Source organism: Homo sapiens, chromosome 19 (assembly GCF_000001405.40).
Source record: "Homo sapiens chromosome 19, GRCh38.p14 Primary Assembly".
NCBI classification, from domain to species: domain Eukaryota; kingdom Metazoa; phylum Chordata; class Mammalia; order Primates; family Hominidae; genus Homo; species Homo sapiens.
In genome coordinates, this window is record NC_000019.10 from 5,861,520 (window position 1) to 5,877,387 (window position 15,868).

At 54.9% G+C, this 15,868-nt stretch overlaps 1 protein-coding gene across 1 annotated transcript, besides 2 other annotated features; it reads right to left on the reverse strand.

Annotated features, from left to right (window-relative positions):
• Positions 59–353: a silencer, noted in NCBI's record as "tiled region #2774; K562 Repressive non-DNase unmatched - State 20:ReprD". NCBI's record gives its function as "represses a minimal TATA promoter and a strong SV40 promoter by Sharpr-MPRA in K562 cells {active_cell/tissue: K562}" and the evidence as "EXISTENCE:reporter gene assay evidence [ECO:0000049][PMID:27701403]".
• FUT5 (fucosyltransferase 5) lies at positions 4,307–9,021 on the reverse strand. Its single transcript, NM_002034.2, has 2 exons — positions 8,946–9,021; positions 4,307–6,218 (listed from the first exon to the last, which is right to left on the reverse strand). Exon 2 carries the CDS (start codon positions 6,204–6,206, stop codon positions 5,082–5,084), a length of 1,125 nt encoding a protein of 374 aa, NP_002025.2. The 5' UTR covers positions 6,207–6,218; positions 8,946–9,021; the 3' UTR covers positions 4,307–5,081.
• Positions 9,479–9,773: an enhancer, noted in NCBI's record as "tiled region #10376; HepG2 Activating DNase matched - State 5:Enh, and K562 Activating non-DNase unmatched - State 21:Repr". NCBI's record gives its function as "activates a minimal TATA promoter and a strong SV40 promoter by Sharpr-MPRA in HepG2 cells, with weak activation in K562 cells {active_cell/tissue: HepG2 | K562}" and the evidence as "EXISTENCE:reporter gene assay evidence [ECO:0000049][PMID:27701403]".

The window sequence follows — 15,868 nt, forward strand, 5'->3', positions numbered from 1 at the left end:
TGTGGATGTGAAGACAGGTCCTGAGAGAGGGTGTTCATTGCTGAGTCACTTGGAGTTTCCAAGGTAGCAGGCTGTCTCCAGCTGGACAACTGCGCTCTCTGCCCCCTGCCTCCTGCCTAGTTCCCGTTCTTCAGGGCTTAGGTGCAGACAGCTCCCCTAGGAAGCCTCCACAGATAGCGGCCCTCTTCCAGCCAGATCAATTCCTTCCACTGGCTCCTGCAACTGCCTCTGTCTCCCCTGTCCTAGCTCAGGCCACACTGTGTCCCTTCTTTCCCCTGCTGGGCTGGCAGCCTCGTGAGGACAGAAAACCTAGAAGAGCAAGAGATGAGGGAAGCTGGAGTGAGAAACCCGAGGGTAGGTCTCTAGCGGAGGGCCACAGGACTCTGCCCATTCCACAGTTGTGATCACCAGGCAATGGGAGGCTGGGCTGGCTGAGGCAATGGTGCTCCTCCTGCCTCAGGCAATGGCAATGGGGGCCAAGTCCACACTCCAGGCTGAGCTCCAATCACACCTGAGGCCAGACTCTGCCTAAGCCCCAACAGCAAGAAAGTAGAGGTTGGTAAATGCTTTCTTGGGTCATTTTTTTTTTTTTTTTTTTTGAGACAGTTTTGCTCTGTCGCCCAGGCTGGAGTGCAGTGGCACGATCTTGGCTCACTGCAAGCTCCGTCTCCCGGGATCACGCCATTCTCCTGCCTCAGCCTCCCAAGTAGCTGGGACTACAGGCGCCCGCCACCACACCTGGCTAATTTTTTGTATTTTTTTGTAATAGAGACGGGGTTTCACCGTGTTAGCCAGGATGGTCTCCATCTCCTGACCTCGTGATCCATCCGCCTTGGCCTTCCAAAGTGCTGGGATTACAGGCGTGAGCCACTGCGCCCGGCCTACTTTATTGGGTCATTAAGGAATCGTGGTCAATTTGGCCACATCTGCCCTTTCCTGCGTGTCCTGTCCCTCTACAGGGACTGGAAATGAATCCCATGCTTTTTTTTTTTTTTTTGGACAGAGTCTCGCACTGTTGGAGTGCCGTCGCCCAGTCTCAGCTCACTGCAATCTCTGCCTCCCAGGTTCAAGTGATCCTCCTGCCTCAGCCCCCCAAGGAGCTGGGACTACAGGCACATGCCACCACGTCCGGCTAATTTTTGTAATTTTAGTAGACACGGAGTTTCTCCATGTTGGTCAGGCTGGTCTCAAACTCCTGACCTCAAGTGATCCGCCCACCTCAGCCTTCCAAAGTGCTGGGATTACAGGTATGAGCCACCGTGCCCGGCCACATGCTCCTTTTGACAGAGCAGGGCAGAAGACAGATTCCTGGTGAGGTCACCCCACCCCACTCAAATGTGGTCATTACCGCACTGGCACTGTCACCCGTGGAGCCCCTGCCCTGTCCCCAAGATCCGCCCTGGCAGCTCACGGCCCACATCTGATTGGCCCTCACCCTGAATCACTTCTTGTGTCCTTTGAACTGGTTCCCTCCTCCTGTAACATCCAACCCCAGTCCACCTTGTTCATGTAGCCAGGAGTTGGGAGGGCTGCGGGTGGGGATTGGGATTGCAACCCAGGCCCCTTGGCCATCAGATCCACAACTGGACTAGCCTCCAGCCACTGAGATCTGGAAGAGGAGCTGCGGCGAATTGCCAGAGACAGTGTGTGCTTATCTTGAAATTGCTGTGTGACCTGAGAGATTCCCTGGCCCTCTCTGAGCAGGGCTCATCAGGCTAGTGCCAGGTGAGGTCTCCCTGTCAAACAGCTGAGCCCAGAGCCCAGATTGGGGGATCACGAGGACCTCCTCGTTGGGGTCTCTGCCCTCATCAGACCCCCCAGCTCCTCCCTCAGCCTGGGCTGGGTGGGTGATGGAGCAGCTGCCAGCCTGCTGGAAATTTTTCTCCCCGTGGGGCCCAGGGCTGGGAGCCAAGGGCAGCTGCCGCTCAGAAGGAGGGAGAAGGCCCCACGGGCTGAGCTGGGTGCGCCATGAACCACATGTGAGATCCGGGGCATACAGGGAGGCAATGGGGGTTGGGAGCCATCCTGGGGTTCCAGAGTGGGCAGGCCAGGGTCCCCCAACGTTGGCCAGGTGGCTGGGCCTCTGCCCTTGTGGGACCCAAGGAGGGTTTCCATGTCCCTCTAAGTCTCAGAGGAAATTCCAGAGGGAGAGAAAGAGAAGTTGGGAAAGGGAGCTGTTCACTCTGACATCAGCTCAGGTAGAGGTGGAGACCATGGGGGCTCCAGGGGCGTCAGGGGACAGAGCAGCCTGTCCCCACTCCAACTCCTTACCCCCAGCGGACTGGCCCCACACCACCCTGTTAGGAAGACCTGGCCTGGCCTCCCGTGAGCCCCTGATCCCCTCCTGGGACCCCTGACTTGCAGCCAGGCAGTGGAGAGAGGGGCCCAGGTGTGTGGTGTGGGTGGCAGGTGAGTGATGGGCCCATCGAGGCTGGCTCAGGCCCGGAGTCACAAGGGGGTTTGACAGAGACTCTCCAGTCCCCTCACACCTTCCCCACCCTATGCCCCTCCACCCTCCCACCTGGGCCTGGGGGAGCCATCACAGGCACCTCTGAGGCATGTCCACTGTGCAGATGGGGAAAGTGAGGCTCAGATAGCACCGGGGAGTCACCACCACCCTCCACCACCAGGTCCCCCATGGCATTCTCCAGAGAGCAGCAATTTCCCCCAAGCCCAGAATGTTCCAGAATGTTCTGGAATGTTCCAGACGTCCTCATTTACAGTCAGAAGCCACCTGCAGCCCCTAAGTGGTGGAGCAGGGCTCTATGCAGGGCTTGCCAGATTTTGGAGTTCTTGACCTGAGATCTTCAGAAAACCGACTTTCGCCTCTGGCAGCTGTGTGGCCTTGGGTGAGTTCCTCAACTTCTCTGGGCATCAGCCACCTCCTCTACAGAGTGGAGCCACTGCCGGCACCTTCTTCAGGAGGCTGAGGTCATGCTGATCCTCCCACCACCCCCGCAGGGTCTCTGCGTACCCCCCTGCAGGGAGGAATGTTTGGCCTGGGTCCCTGGCCCTCTGTGGGCCTCAGTTTCCCCTCCTGTAATACTTTTAAGAAGCCCACCTCTCCCTGCCCATCCACAAGGCCACACACACGGTCACAGCCACTTGCAGACACAGCTTAAGAGTCCCACATGTGTCCCCACACAGCCCACTTCACCACACCCAAGGACACAGGTCCATGCAGACACAGCCTTGCGCAGTTACACAGAGACACACACAGACTTGGAGAGCCCAGCACACTCAGAGGGGCCGCTGCTCCGTCCAACACTCAAAGCCTCACTCCCAGGCCACACATTCCGTCTCACACTCACAATCACCGCCACCTACGAGCACCCACATAGAGCCACAGGCAGGCATCGAGACACATCTGCAGGCACTATCAGAGTCACGCTGAGGTCACAGCCACAGTGATGCGTTGGTGACACCCACCCGCTGGCGGTCACACCGAGTGTCCCCCAGCCAAGTGCACACCACTGCTGACGGTCACACACATACCCTTTGCCCTCCTCCTTAGGGGACCCTGCCCTTCCCTGACCTGCCCTGCACACCTTGGGCAACACATCCAGCTCCCCTGGACCCCGTACCCTGGGCAGAGAGGGTCCCTTTATCCCAGCCCTGCCCACCTTCACTCCTGGAGAGCGTGGGCCCCACTCCTCAGCCCTCAGAGCCTGCATGTCCACTGTGCAAATGGGGAGATTGAGGCTCAGAGAGCACCTGGAATTCACTACCACCTTCCACCACCAGGTTCCCCTTGGCATTCTCCAGAGAGCAGCAATTTCCCCCAAGGCCAGAATGTTCCAGAATGTTCTGGAATATTCTGGACATCCTCATTTACAGTCAGAAACCACCTGCAGCCCCTAAGTCATGGAGCAGGGCTCTATGCAGGGCTTGCCTGACTTTGGAGTTCTTGACCTGAGACCTTCAGAAAAAAGACTTTCACTTCTGGGTGGGTGCCAGAGCCCACCCCAGGGAGCCAGCTGAAGGAGAGGACCCCCGAGGGATCTGAACGCCTCCCCCAAGAGGCTTGACCTCCAGGGTCATAGAAAGTTCTAGAACAGGGTTTTCTGCCCCTGGACATTTGGAACCATCATTGTTGGTTGTAAGGGCCCCGACTCGTGCATTGTAGGGGGTTTGGAGTAACCCTGGCCTCTACCCACTAGGTGACCTCATCCTCCTCCCCTGGTTGTGACAACTGAAAATGTCTCCAGACATTGCCAAGTGCCCTTGGGGACAGAATCGCCCTGCGTGAGAACCACTGTTCTAGAGTGAGGGGGGACACAGGAGCTTTCCTTGAAGCATTCTCGCCTGAAAATGTTAACAGCATTATCTGTTTGCACCCCTCATGGGTGGTTAACAACAGCAATAAAACCACAAGCAAACCAGCCTGCACCATCGCCCGGGGGCAGGGCCTCAAGGGCACCCGTTCTCAGGGCCCAGTGCCCTCCAGGGTGAGGCATCGCAACACATCCACAGGCACTATCAGAGTCACGCCGAGGTCACACCCATAGTGATGCATTTGTGACACCCATCCGCTGGCGGTCAAACCGAGTGTCCCCCAGCCATGTGCACACCACTGCTGATGGTCACACACATACCCTTCGCCCTCCTCCTTAGGGGACCCTGCCCTTCCCTGACCTGCCCTGCACACCTTGGGCAACACATCCAGCTCCCTTGGGCCCTGTGCCTCCCAGCGGGTGAGGCTCCTAGCAGGTGACATTCAGTGTGGCAAGGTCTCTGGGAGCAGGTCCCAGCAGGTAAAGTCCCCAACAGCCGAGATCCTCAGTAGGTGCAGCCTCCAGAAAGCAAGGTCCCCAGTAGGCACCATCCCCAGCCCCAGCTGGCAAGGTCCCCAGCAGGGGAGGCTCCTGGCAGTGAAGCCCGGCAAGTGAAATCCCAGGTAAGTCACATGCCTGGCCACCAAAGACTCCAGCAGGTGAGGCCCCAGGCAGGTGAGACCCCAGGCAGCCGAGGCCCCAGGCAGCCGAGGCCCCAGGTAGGTAAATCCCCCGACTAGTGAGACCCTAGGTAGGTGAGGCCCTGGGAAAGTGAGGTCCCGGCAGCCCAGGCCCCATGCCGGCCTCTCAGGTGAACCAAGCCGCTATGCTGCGCACCGTCTGGTACCTAGATTCCTGCTGCAGCTTCCAGCAGGCCTTGCAGAAAGCCAGTGCCCAGCTGAAGGAGCGAGGCCGCAGCGTCTCCCGCCAGTGAAAGTAGCTCAGGTAGCGGGCGTGGTCCTTGTCCAGCTCCTGCAGGTACCGGGCCAGGTCCTTGGGGCTCTGGAAGTCGTCCACGTGGATGAAGGCGTCGGGTGGCAGGAACCTCTCGTAGTTGCTTCTGCTGGGGCCCAGCACCACGGGCACGGCCCAGGCCTCCAGGGCGTTCCTCCACAGCTTCTCGGTGATGTAGTCGGGGTGCAAGGAGTTCTCGAAGGCCAGATAGAACTTGTACCGGGACAGCGTCTCCATCATGGTCCCCTTGGGCAGGGGCTTGTGGGAGCGTCCGTACACGTCCACCTTGAGATGAGCCTGCAGGCTCTGGTAGTAGCGCACCCTGGCCGAGTCCGGCTTCCAGTTGGACACCGCCCAGGCCACCAGCTCGGTCTTGGCCGAGAGGTTGAGCGGTGGGTGGGCAGGCTGGCCGGACCACGGCTCCAGCCAGCCGTAGGGCGTGAAGATGTCGGAGTCGCTGCGGTAGGACATGGTGAGATTGAAGTATCCGTCCAGGGCTTCCAGGTGCCGGCAGTTGCTGGGGGACTCCATGCTGAACCAGATCCAGCGCTGCCCCTGCGGCCTGGTGGGGGGCGGGAGGTTGGCACTGGGGTTGTACATGATATCCCAGTGGTGCACGATGACCGCGTCTGCCTGTGGGTACACACTGGAGTCGGCAGTGATGTTGCAGTCGGCCGCGCCGGGCACCATCTCTGAGCAGCGGGGCAGAGCCACGGGTGTGTTAAAAGGCCACGTCCACAGCAGGATCAGTAGGGTGGGGTGGGCAGGGGTCGCCATGCTGTCCTGGCAGCGGGACCCATTGGGAGCCCCGGTGACAGGTTCCACTGCCATAAGCCCTGGCCTAGGGGATCCAGTGGCATCGTCTCGGGACACACGCAGGTAGGAGAAGAAACACACAGCCACCAGCAGCTGAAACAGCAGCCCGGCCAGACAGCGGCGCCACAGCCACTGTGGCTTGGCTGGGCCCAGGGGATCCATGGGTCAGAGTAGCTGGGAAGAGAGGAGAGAGGAGTGAGGGTCATTAAGGAAGATCACCCACTTCCTGGCCACGTGTCCTGAGAGAAGCTGTTATAATTTATGACACAGCTTGTCATAAATGCCCCCAGTACCCCTGAGTTGAGGATTGAATTTATAACTCTGACAGGGAAGGGTACGATGGGATTAGGTTTTGCAGGTAACATAAGAGTTCTCCAGATAAGGTAGGAGTTGAGGGAAAGGGTGTCCGTTGGATGAGGAAAGAGCCAGTGCCAAAGCCTGGCGGGGTGAGACACCTGAGCAGTTTGCAGACAAAGAAAAGGAAGTGCTCAGGGCTTCCAGTTTAGGCTTGATTTTCTATTCACTTGGTCTTTCAATCAACAGACACTCAAAGTTAACCCCTCTGGCCCTCAGACACACTGTCCCCGTCCTGGGGGAGAGGCTGAGGCTGGGGAGAGGTGGGGAGGATAGGAGGGAGAATGGGCAGGTGTGAAGACTCAGGAGAGGCAGGGGCTGACCAGGCAGGGAGTGGGGGGATCTGGGGCCCCAGGGAGGAGCAGGCTTTCAGGGAAGACATGGAACCCCGCTTGTTCTGGAGACACCCAGCACGGAACTGGAGGGAGCCCAGGGCCCTCAGAGTGTAGGCACTGGGTCTGGGAAGCCTGAGAAGAAAAACCTTCAAAGAGGCTAAGAGGGCGACCGGAGGAGGAGGAGGGAACCCGAACCATGCTTTGTGATGGGTGAGGTGAGGCTTGGATGCCAGGGTGGACTGTTTACAGTTTTAAATGTACATCTAAAAACTGAACAGCATATTTAAAAAAAATTTTATAGGCCAGGCGTGAGGGCTCATGCCTGTAATCCCAGCATTTTGGGAGGCCAAGGCGGGCAGATCACCTGAGGTCAGGAGTTCAAGACCAGCCTGGCCAACATGGCAAGACTCTGTCTCTACTAAAAAATACAAAAATTAGCCGGATGTGGTGGTGGTGCCTGTAATCCCAGCTACTTGGGAGGCTGAGGCAGGAAAATCACTTGAAATGAGCGGAGATCACACCACTGAACGCCAGCCTGGGTGACAGAATGAGACTCTGTCTCAAATAATAACAATAATAAATTTATAACACAGCATCTTCCTCTGTCACCCAGGCTGGAGTGCAGTAGCATGATCTCAGCTTACTGAAGCCTCAACCTCCCAGGTTCAAATGATCCTCCCACCTCAGCCTCCAGAAGAGCTGGGATTACAGGCAAGCGCCACCATGCCCAGCTAATTTTTTTTTTTTTAGACGGAGTCTCCCTCTGTCGCCCAGGCTAGAGTGCAGTGGCATGATCTCGGCTCACTGCAAGCTCCACCTCCCGGGTTCATGCCATTCTCCTGCCTCAGCCTCCCAAGTAGCTGGGACTACAGGTGCCCGCTACCATGCCCGGCTAATTTTTTTTTGTTTTTAGTAGAGATGGGGTTTCACCATGTTAGCCAGGATAGTCTCCATCTGACCTCGTGATCCGCCTGCCTGGGCCTCCCAAAGTGCTGGGATTACAGGTGTGAGCCACCATGCCCAGCCTTTTTTTTTTTTTTTTTTTTTTAAATTTACTTTTGAGACTTGGCTCACTGCAACCTCTGCCTCCCAGATTCAAGTGATTCTTGTCCCTCAGCCTCCTGAGTAGCTGGGATGACAGGTGGGTACCACCATGCCCGGCTAATTTTTGTATTTTTAGTAGAGACAGGGTTTCACTATGTTGGTCAGACTGGTCTTGAACTCCTGGCCTCAAATGATCCACCTGCCTCGGCCTCCCAAAGTGCTGGGATTACAGGTGTGAGCCACCACACCCGGCCTAAATAAATTTTTTTTTCCCACCAAACACAACAGTATTGTTTTGGTAGAAACCATGTCACCATTGCTACCCAAAATTTAGTGCCTAAAAAGAGAGGTGCTTATGGTGTCAAATTTCCATACGATTGTTATTTCTTAGTATGAAAGAAAGGATGTGAAGTAGCTCATTAATGATTTTCTACATTAATTACATATTGAAATAACGCTTTGGATGTATTGGGTGAAATAAAATATATCATTAAAATTAAATTGGCCGGATGTGGTGCCTCACGTCTGTAATACCAGCAATATTGGGTGGATCACCTGAGGTCAGGAGTTCGAGGCCAGCCTGGCTAACATGGCGAAACCCTGTTTCTACTAAAAATACAAAAAATTAGCCAGGTGCTGGCACATGCCTATAATCCCAGCTACTCGGGAGGCTGAGGCAGAATTGCTTGAACCCGGGAGGCGGGGGTTGCAGTGAGCTGAGATTGCGCCACTGCACTCCAGCTTGGACAACAAAAGCTAAACTCCATCTCAAAAAAAAAAAAAAAAAAAAAGAAAAAGAAAAACATTAAATTTCCTGGTATTCTTTTTTAATGTGGTTGCTGGGAAGTTTTCTTTCTTTCTTTCTTTTTAAAATTATTATTATTTTTTGAGATGGAGTCACCGTGAGCCACTGTGCCTGGCCTATTGCTGGGAAATTGTAAATTACATTCGGGGTAGAAAACAGTTTGGTGCTTCCTTGAAAAGCCTGAGAGATACTTATCACATCACCAGCAATCTCCCTCCTAGGTAGAAGCCCCAAAGAATTAACAACAAAAGGACGCAAACAGATACTTGTACACCCATGGTCACAGCAGCCTGACTCACAACAGAACAAACAGCCCAAAGGTAGAAACTACCCAGATGTCCATCAATAGAAGAACAAATATACCTAGTGTGATCCATCCACACAATGGAATATCACTCAGCCATGAAAAGGCTGGGCGAGGTGGCTCATGTCTGTAATCCCAGCACTTTGGGAGGCCGAGGCAGGTAGATCACGAGGTCAGGAGATCAAGACCATCCTGGCTAACACGGTGAAACCCAGTCTCTATGGAAAATACAAAAAAATTAGCTGGGCATGGTGGTGGGCGCCAGTAGTCCCAGCTACTTGGGAAGCTGAGGCAGGAGAATGGTGTGAACCCAGGAGGCGGAACTGGCAGTGGGCCGAGATTGTGCCACTGCACTCCAGCCTGGGTGACAGAGTGAGGCTCCGTCTCAAAAAAAAAGAGAAAACCTGTCTCTACTAAAGATATAAAAAAAAGAGCCGGCATGGTGGCACATGCCTGTAATCCCAGCTACTTGGGAGGCTGAGGCAGGAGAATTGCTTGAACCCGGGAGGCAGAGCTTATAGTGAACCAAGATTGCGCCACTGCACTCCAGCCTGGGCAACAGGGCAAGACTCTGTCTCAAAAAAAAGAAAAGGAGCGAGGCTCCCACACAGGCCACAGCGTGGATGAAGGCTGAGGACATCACATTCAATGACAGAAGCCAGACACAAAATGCCACACAGTGTGTGATCCCATTTCTGGGAAATGTCCAGGACGAGCCGATCCACAGAGACAGGAAGTAGAACAGAGGTGACTGGAGGCTGGAGAGGGGAGAATGTTTGTTTAACGGGTCCAGAGTTTCTGTTTGGGGTGATGAAAGTTTTGGAAAGATGCTGGAGTGATGGTTGCACAACACTGCACGCGATGCCACTGAATTGTATGCTTAAAAATGCCTAAATGCGCCAGGTGCGGTGGCTCACGCCTGTCATCCCAGCACTTTGGGAGGCTGAGGCGGGAGGATCACCTGAGGTCAGGAGTTCGAGACAAGCCTGGCCAACATGGTGAAACCCCGTCTCTACTAAAAATATAAAAATTAGCTGGGCATGGTGGTGCACACCTGTAATCCCAGCTACTCAAGAGGCTGAGGCAGAAGACTCACTTCAACCCAGGAGGCAGAGGCTGCAGTGAGCAACAAGAGCAAAACTCTCTCTCATAAAAAAAAAAAAAAAGCCTAAATGGTGAAGTTTATGTTATACATATATGTATGGATATATGGAATTACAATTTAAAAATAAGGTGGCTGGGCGCGGTGGCTCACACCTGTAATCCCAGCACTTTGGGAGGCCAAGGCGGGCGGATCACCAGGTCAGGAGATTGAGACCATCCTGACTAACATGGTGAAACCCCACCTCTACTAAAAATACAAAAAGAAATTAGCCAGGCGTGGTGGCGGGCGCCTGTAGTCCCAGCTACTTGAGAGGCTGAGGCAGGAGAATGGTGTGAACCCGGGAGGCGGAGCTTGCAGTGAGCTGAGATAGCACCACTGCACTCCAGCCTGGGCGACAGAGTGAGACTCCGTCTCAAAAAAAAAAAAAGGTAACACACCAAAAACCATTGACTTATTTACTTGTACACCTTAAGTTGGCTCACTGTATGGTATGTGAATTACATCCTGATGAAACCGTTTATTTATTTTTGAGACTGAGTCTTGCTCTGTTGCCCAGGCTGGAGTGCAGTGGCACAATCTCAGTTCACTGCAACCTCCACCTCTGCGTTCAAGTGATTCTCCTGCCTTAGCCTCTCAAGTAGCTGGGATTACAGACACACACCACAATGCCCAGCTAATTTTTGTATTTTTAGTAGAGACGGGGTTTCACCACGTTAGCCAGGCTGGTCTCGAACTCCTGACCTAAAGTGATCCACCCGCCTTGGCCTCCCAAAGTGCTGGGATTACAGGCATAAGCCACCACGCCCAGCCGATGAAGCTGTTTTAAAATGATGTAGGGTTGCCAGCTTTCTCTGTTGGGCCAAGTTGGTCTTAACCTTGCAGCAGGTGACCTGGGTGTGATGAAGTGATCCAGACACCCAGTCCCAAGCTCATGCCAAGGTTCTGGAAAGAGATTCAAAACACAAGCCCTCAGGGCACAGTCCGAGCCCAGAGTGGGAGGGAGGTTGAACTTTGACCAATTACTGCTTTGTACCATTGGACTCTAGAGCCTCAGGCACAGGTTAATTTTTATTTTTAAGACGGAGTCTCGCTCTGTTGCCCAGGCTGGAGTGCAGTGGCACTATCTTGGCTCACTGCAAGCTCCGCCTCCTGGGTTCACGCCATTCTCCTGCCTCAGCCTCCCGAGTAGCTGGGACTACAGGGCCCGGCTAATTTTTTGTATTTTAGTAGAGACGGGATTTCACCGTGTTAGCCAGGATGCTCTTGATCTCCTGACCTCATGATCCGCCCGCCTCGGCCTCCCAAAGTGCTAGGATTACAGGTGTGAGCCACTGCGCCCAGCCAGGCACAGGTTAATTTTTATAAAGTAATTGATATTAAGATGGAATTACATGGGCCCTGGGTTCATGGCAGCCCCTCTTAGGAGACAGTGAAGTATATTTTAACGAGGTATAGAAGGGTAGATTGGGGCCAGGTGTGGTGGGTCACACCTGTAATCCTAGCACTTTGGGAGGCCAAGGACAGAGAATTGCTTGAACTTGGGAGGTGGAGGTTGCAGTGAGCTGAGATCACACCACTGCACAGGAGCCTGGGCAACAGAGCGAGACGACATCTCAATTTTAAAAAAAAAAAAAAAAAAAAAAAAAAAAAGAAGGGTAGATTGGGGAAAATGGGTAATTCAGGGGTGGTCAGGGCTGAGGTCCCACCCAAGTTGAACCCAAGATATTTTTTTCTAGAAAAAGAATGCCTGGGCTGGACACAGTGGCTCATGCCTGTAATCCCAGCACTTTGGGAGGCTGAGGCGGGTGGACCACCTGAGGTCAGGAGTTCAAGACCAGCCTGGCCAACATGGTGAAACCCCGTCTTTACTAAAAATAAAAAAAAAAATTAGCCAGGCATGGTGGTGGGCACCTGTAATCCCAGCTACTCAGGAAGCTGAGGCCAGAGAATTGCTTGAATCAGGGAGGTGGAGGTTGCAGTGAGCCAAGATGGCGCCACTGTACTCCAACCTGGGTGACAGAGTGAGACTCCGTCCCCCCCAAAAAAAGCATGCCCAGTTCCTCCTGGTTTGGCGAATCAGCCAGAACCTTCCATCCCCTCCTCCATCCCACTACATGCAGCACCCAGAAAGACCCCTGCCTGCGACTAGGGCCTGCTGGCCAAATTCCAGGCCACTGCACAGCCTGCAGACCCTTCTCCGGGGATTCTGTGCCCATCCAGCTGCATCCTGAATCACAGCAGACAGGACCGGCGCTGAGGTGGGAACAAACGGAGCCAGGACGCCTTTCCTACGAGGTCTCCCGTGATTTCTGGGTTGGGGATAAAGGTGCCCCAAGACTCTCTCCCTGGATGGCGGGGGCAGCATGCCCAGGATGAGAGCACCTCCCAGGAGGCTGAGGACAGAGTACCAGCTGGATTCTCAGGACGTGGAAGAGGCCAGACCAGGTAGCAGCAGGAAGGAGGAAGTATACCTGGAGCTGAAGCCAGGCTCTGTCCAACCACTGCACCTGCCATCAGGTGACCCAGTGTGTCCTGTCCTGGAGCTGGGACATCCTCTGAAAGCAAATTGTGTGTCTCCTCTAATCCCTGCTGTAGAATTGGAAAGGGTGCAGGGATTTGGAGGCCTAGGTCATGACCCTGGTCCTACCGGTGGCCTCAATGCAATGCGGCTTTGAGCACAAAGGGAAAAGGCTGACCTGAACCACTGGTTCCCAAAGTGGGTTCCATAGGGACACCAGGGGTTCCTTGGGAGGTGGGAATGGGGAAGTGAGCAGAATTTCCACCTTCCCGCCTTCCTTCCCACCAGATCCCACCTCCCACTTAGTTCATCAGCAAATATTTCCTGAAGGCCAGGCACAGTGGCTCACACCTGTAATCCCAGCACTTTGGGAGGCCGAGGCAGGCGGATCACCTGAGGTCAGGAGTTCAAGACCAGCCTGGGCAACATGGTGAAACCCCATGTCTACTAAAAAAAAAAAAAAAAAAATTAGCCGGGCATGGTGGTGCATGCCTGTAATCCCAGGTACTCAGGAGGCTGAGGCATGAGAATCACTTGAACCCAGGAGGCAAAGGCTGCAGTGAGCTGAGATCAAGCCACTGCACTCCAGCCTGGGCAACAGAGCAAGACTCTGTCTCACAAAAAAAACACAGAACCACAAATATTTCCTAAGCACTTACTAAGTGCCAGGCCAAGCACTCCTGCAAGGAGCTGGAGGGTGAGTCACCGACAATACGCGAGCCTTATAAGGGAACTAACAATTAAAACTGTGGCCTTCTAAACAAAACGGGGAGGGAAAAGCATTCTGGGTAGAGGGAACAACCTATGCAAAGGCCCCGAGGGAGCAGAGGTCCAGGCACGTTGGAGGAACTGGGGGGAGTCTCAGCAGGCTGGGTCTTCACCATGGGAGAAGAGGCAGAGCTGTCGCAGAGGCCAGGCCACGGTCAGCCATGGGGTGTTCAGCACCAGGGCAATAGGGAGCCATTGGAGGCTTCAAGCAGAGGGGTTACCATGTTGATGTGTGGTTTGAGATGCTCTCTTTTCTTTTTTGAGATAGCCTTGCTCTGTTGCCCAGGCTGGAGTGCAGGTTGGCGTGCAGTGGCATGATCTTGGCTCACTGTAGCCTCTGCCTCCTGGGTTCAAGAGATTCACCTGTCTCAGCCTCAGGAGCAGGGATTACAAGTACCCGCCACCATGCCCACCTAATTTTTGTATTTTTACTAGAGATGGGGATTCACCATGTTGGCCAGGCTGGTCTCGAACTCCTGACCTCAAGTGATCAGCCCACCTCAGCCTCCCAAAGTGCTGGGATTACAGGCGGGAGCCCCCACACCCGTCCTGAGATGCTCTCTTCTGACACACTAGGCACAGGCCCCACTCTGGTGGCCTCACCAAGCCCTTCTGTGTGCCTCAAAGCCACTCCCTTTCCCCGCCCACTCCTGCAGGGCAGTGTAGAAGTCCAAGGAGCCAGGTAAGTTTCCTGGAATGCAGAAGAGAAAGGATGTGGAAGGATGTCTTTGACAGAGGATGTCCTTAAACTCTGTCACTCCCAAGCTGGGTACAGAGGTGACAGAGCCCACATTTCACCTTCAGGTATCACGACTTCCCTGTTCTAGAAATAATTTCCAGGAGGCCGTTTCATGCTGCCCCAGACTTTCACCGTCTCAGTTCCCAGCCAGGCCCAGGCCAGTGGGGAGGATCGACTGGCCAGGGCTGGGCCAGGGACTGCGGTCTCCCAGGCAAGCCATTTCCAGAAGGGATGACCTGAGTCTGTTCTCTGTTCATGTCCTCGCTGGGGGCATTGTCTGTGACTGATTAAAACATAACTCATAGAAGTTGGGTATAGTGGCTCACACTCATAATTCCAGCACTTTGGGAGGCCGAGGTGAGCAGATCACCTGAGGTCAGGAGTTTGAGACCAGCCTGGCCAACATGGTGAAACCTCGTCTCTGCTAAAAATACAAAAATTAGCCGGGTGTGGTGGTGCACACCTGTAATCCCAGCTACTCTGGAAGCTGAGGCGGGAGAATCACTTGAACCCGGGAGGCAGAGGTTTGCAGTGAGCTAAGATTGGGTCACTGCACTCCAGCCTGGGTGACAGAGTGAGACTCCATCACAAAAAGAAAAAAACCCAAAAAAACATAACTCATGGGGCTCTCAGTCTTGGTGTGACTTTGTCCTGGAGCCCCAGCCAAGCCTGGACCGGCAACGCTTCCATCCCACACAGCTGTCCTGTGGATGTGAAGACAGGTCCTGAGAGAGGGCGCTCACTACTCAAGTCACTGGGAGTCTCAATCGCACCAGGCTGTCTTCAGTTGGACAGCTGTACTCTCTGCCCCCTGCCTCCTGCTTAATTCCCAGTCATCCTTCAGGGCTCGGTGAAAACAGCTCCTCCAGGGAGCCTCCCCAGATAGGGGCTCTCTTGCCCTCCCAGCCAGATCATCCTTTCTACTGGCTCCTCCAACCACCCGTGCCCCTGATTCTAGGCTCAGGCCGCGAGGATCTCTTCCCTCTGGCTCAGATGAGCTGAGACTTGCTTGGGGGGTGCGGTGAGGCCATCTGTGCCCCTCGTTGGGGTCCTGGTCTTCATTGGACACCCCAGCTCCTCCCTCAGCCTGGGCTGGGTGGGTGATAAAGCTGTCAGCCTGCTGGAAATTTCTCTCCCCTTGGGGCCTAAGGGCTGGGAGCCAAGGGCAGCTGCCGCTCAGGAGGAGGGAGAAGGCCCCATAGGCTGGGCTGGGTGCACCATGAACCACATGTGAGATCTGGGGCACATGGGGAGACAATGGGGGGTTGAGGGCAGTGCTGGTGTTCCAGAGGGGGCAGGCCAGGGTCCCCCAATGTTGGCCAGGTGGCTGGTCTTCTGCCCTTGTGGAACCCAAGGAGGGTTTCCATGTCCCTCTAAGCCTCAGAGGAAATTCCAGAGGGAGAGAAAGAGAAGTTGGGAAAGGGAGCTGTTCACTCTGACATCAGCTCAGGGAGAGGCGGAGACCACGGGGGCTCCAGGGGCATCAGGGGACAGAGCAGCCTGTCCCCACACCTCTTACCCCCTGGGGACTGGGCCTGCCCCAGCCTGTTAGGAAGCCCTGGCCTGGCCTGCCGAGGGCCCCATCCCCCTCCCAGGACCCCTGGCTTGCAGCCAGGTGGTGGGGAGAGGGGCCCAGGTGGGTGGTGTGTGTGGCAGGTGAGTGATGGGCCCAGCAAGGCTGGCTCAGGCCCGGAGTCACCAGGGGGCTTAGCAGAGACTCTTCAGGCCCCCCACACCTTCCCCACCCTATGCCCCTCCACCCTTCTACCTGGGCCTGGGGGAGCCATCACAGGCACCTCTGCATGTCCACTGTACAGATGGGGAAACCGAGGCTTAGATAGCACCTGGGAGT

Bases quoted from the DNA above. Each gene is read 5' to 3' on its own strand.
- FUT5 (NM_002034.2), bottom strand. From the start codon at position 6,206: ATGGATCCCCTGGGCCCAGCCAAGCCACAGTGGCTGTGGCGCCGCTGT.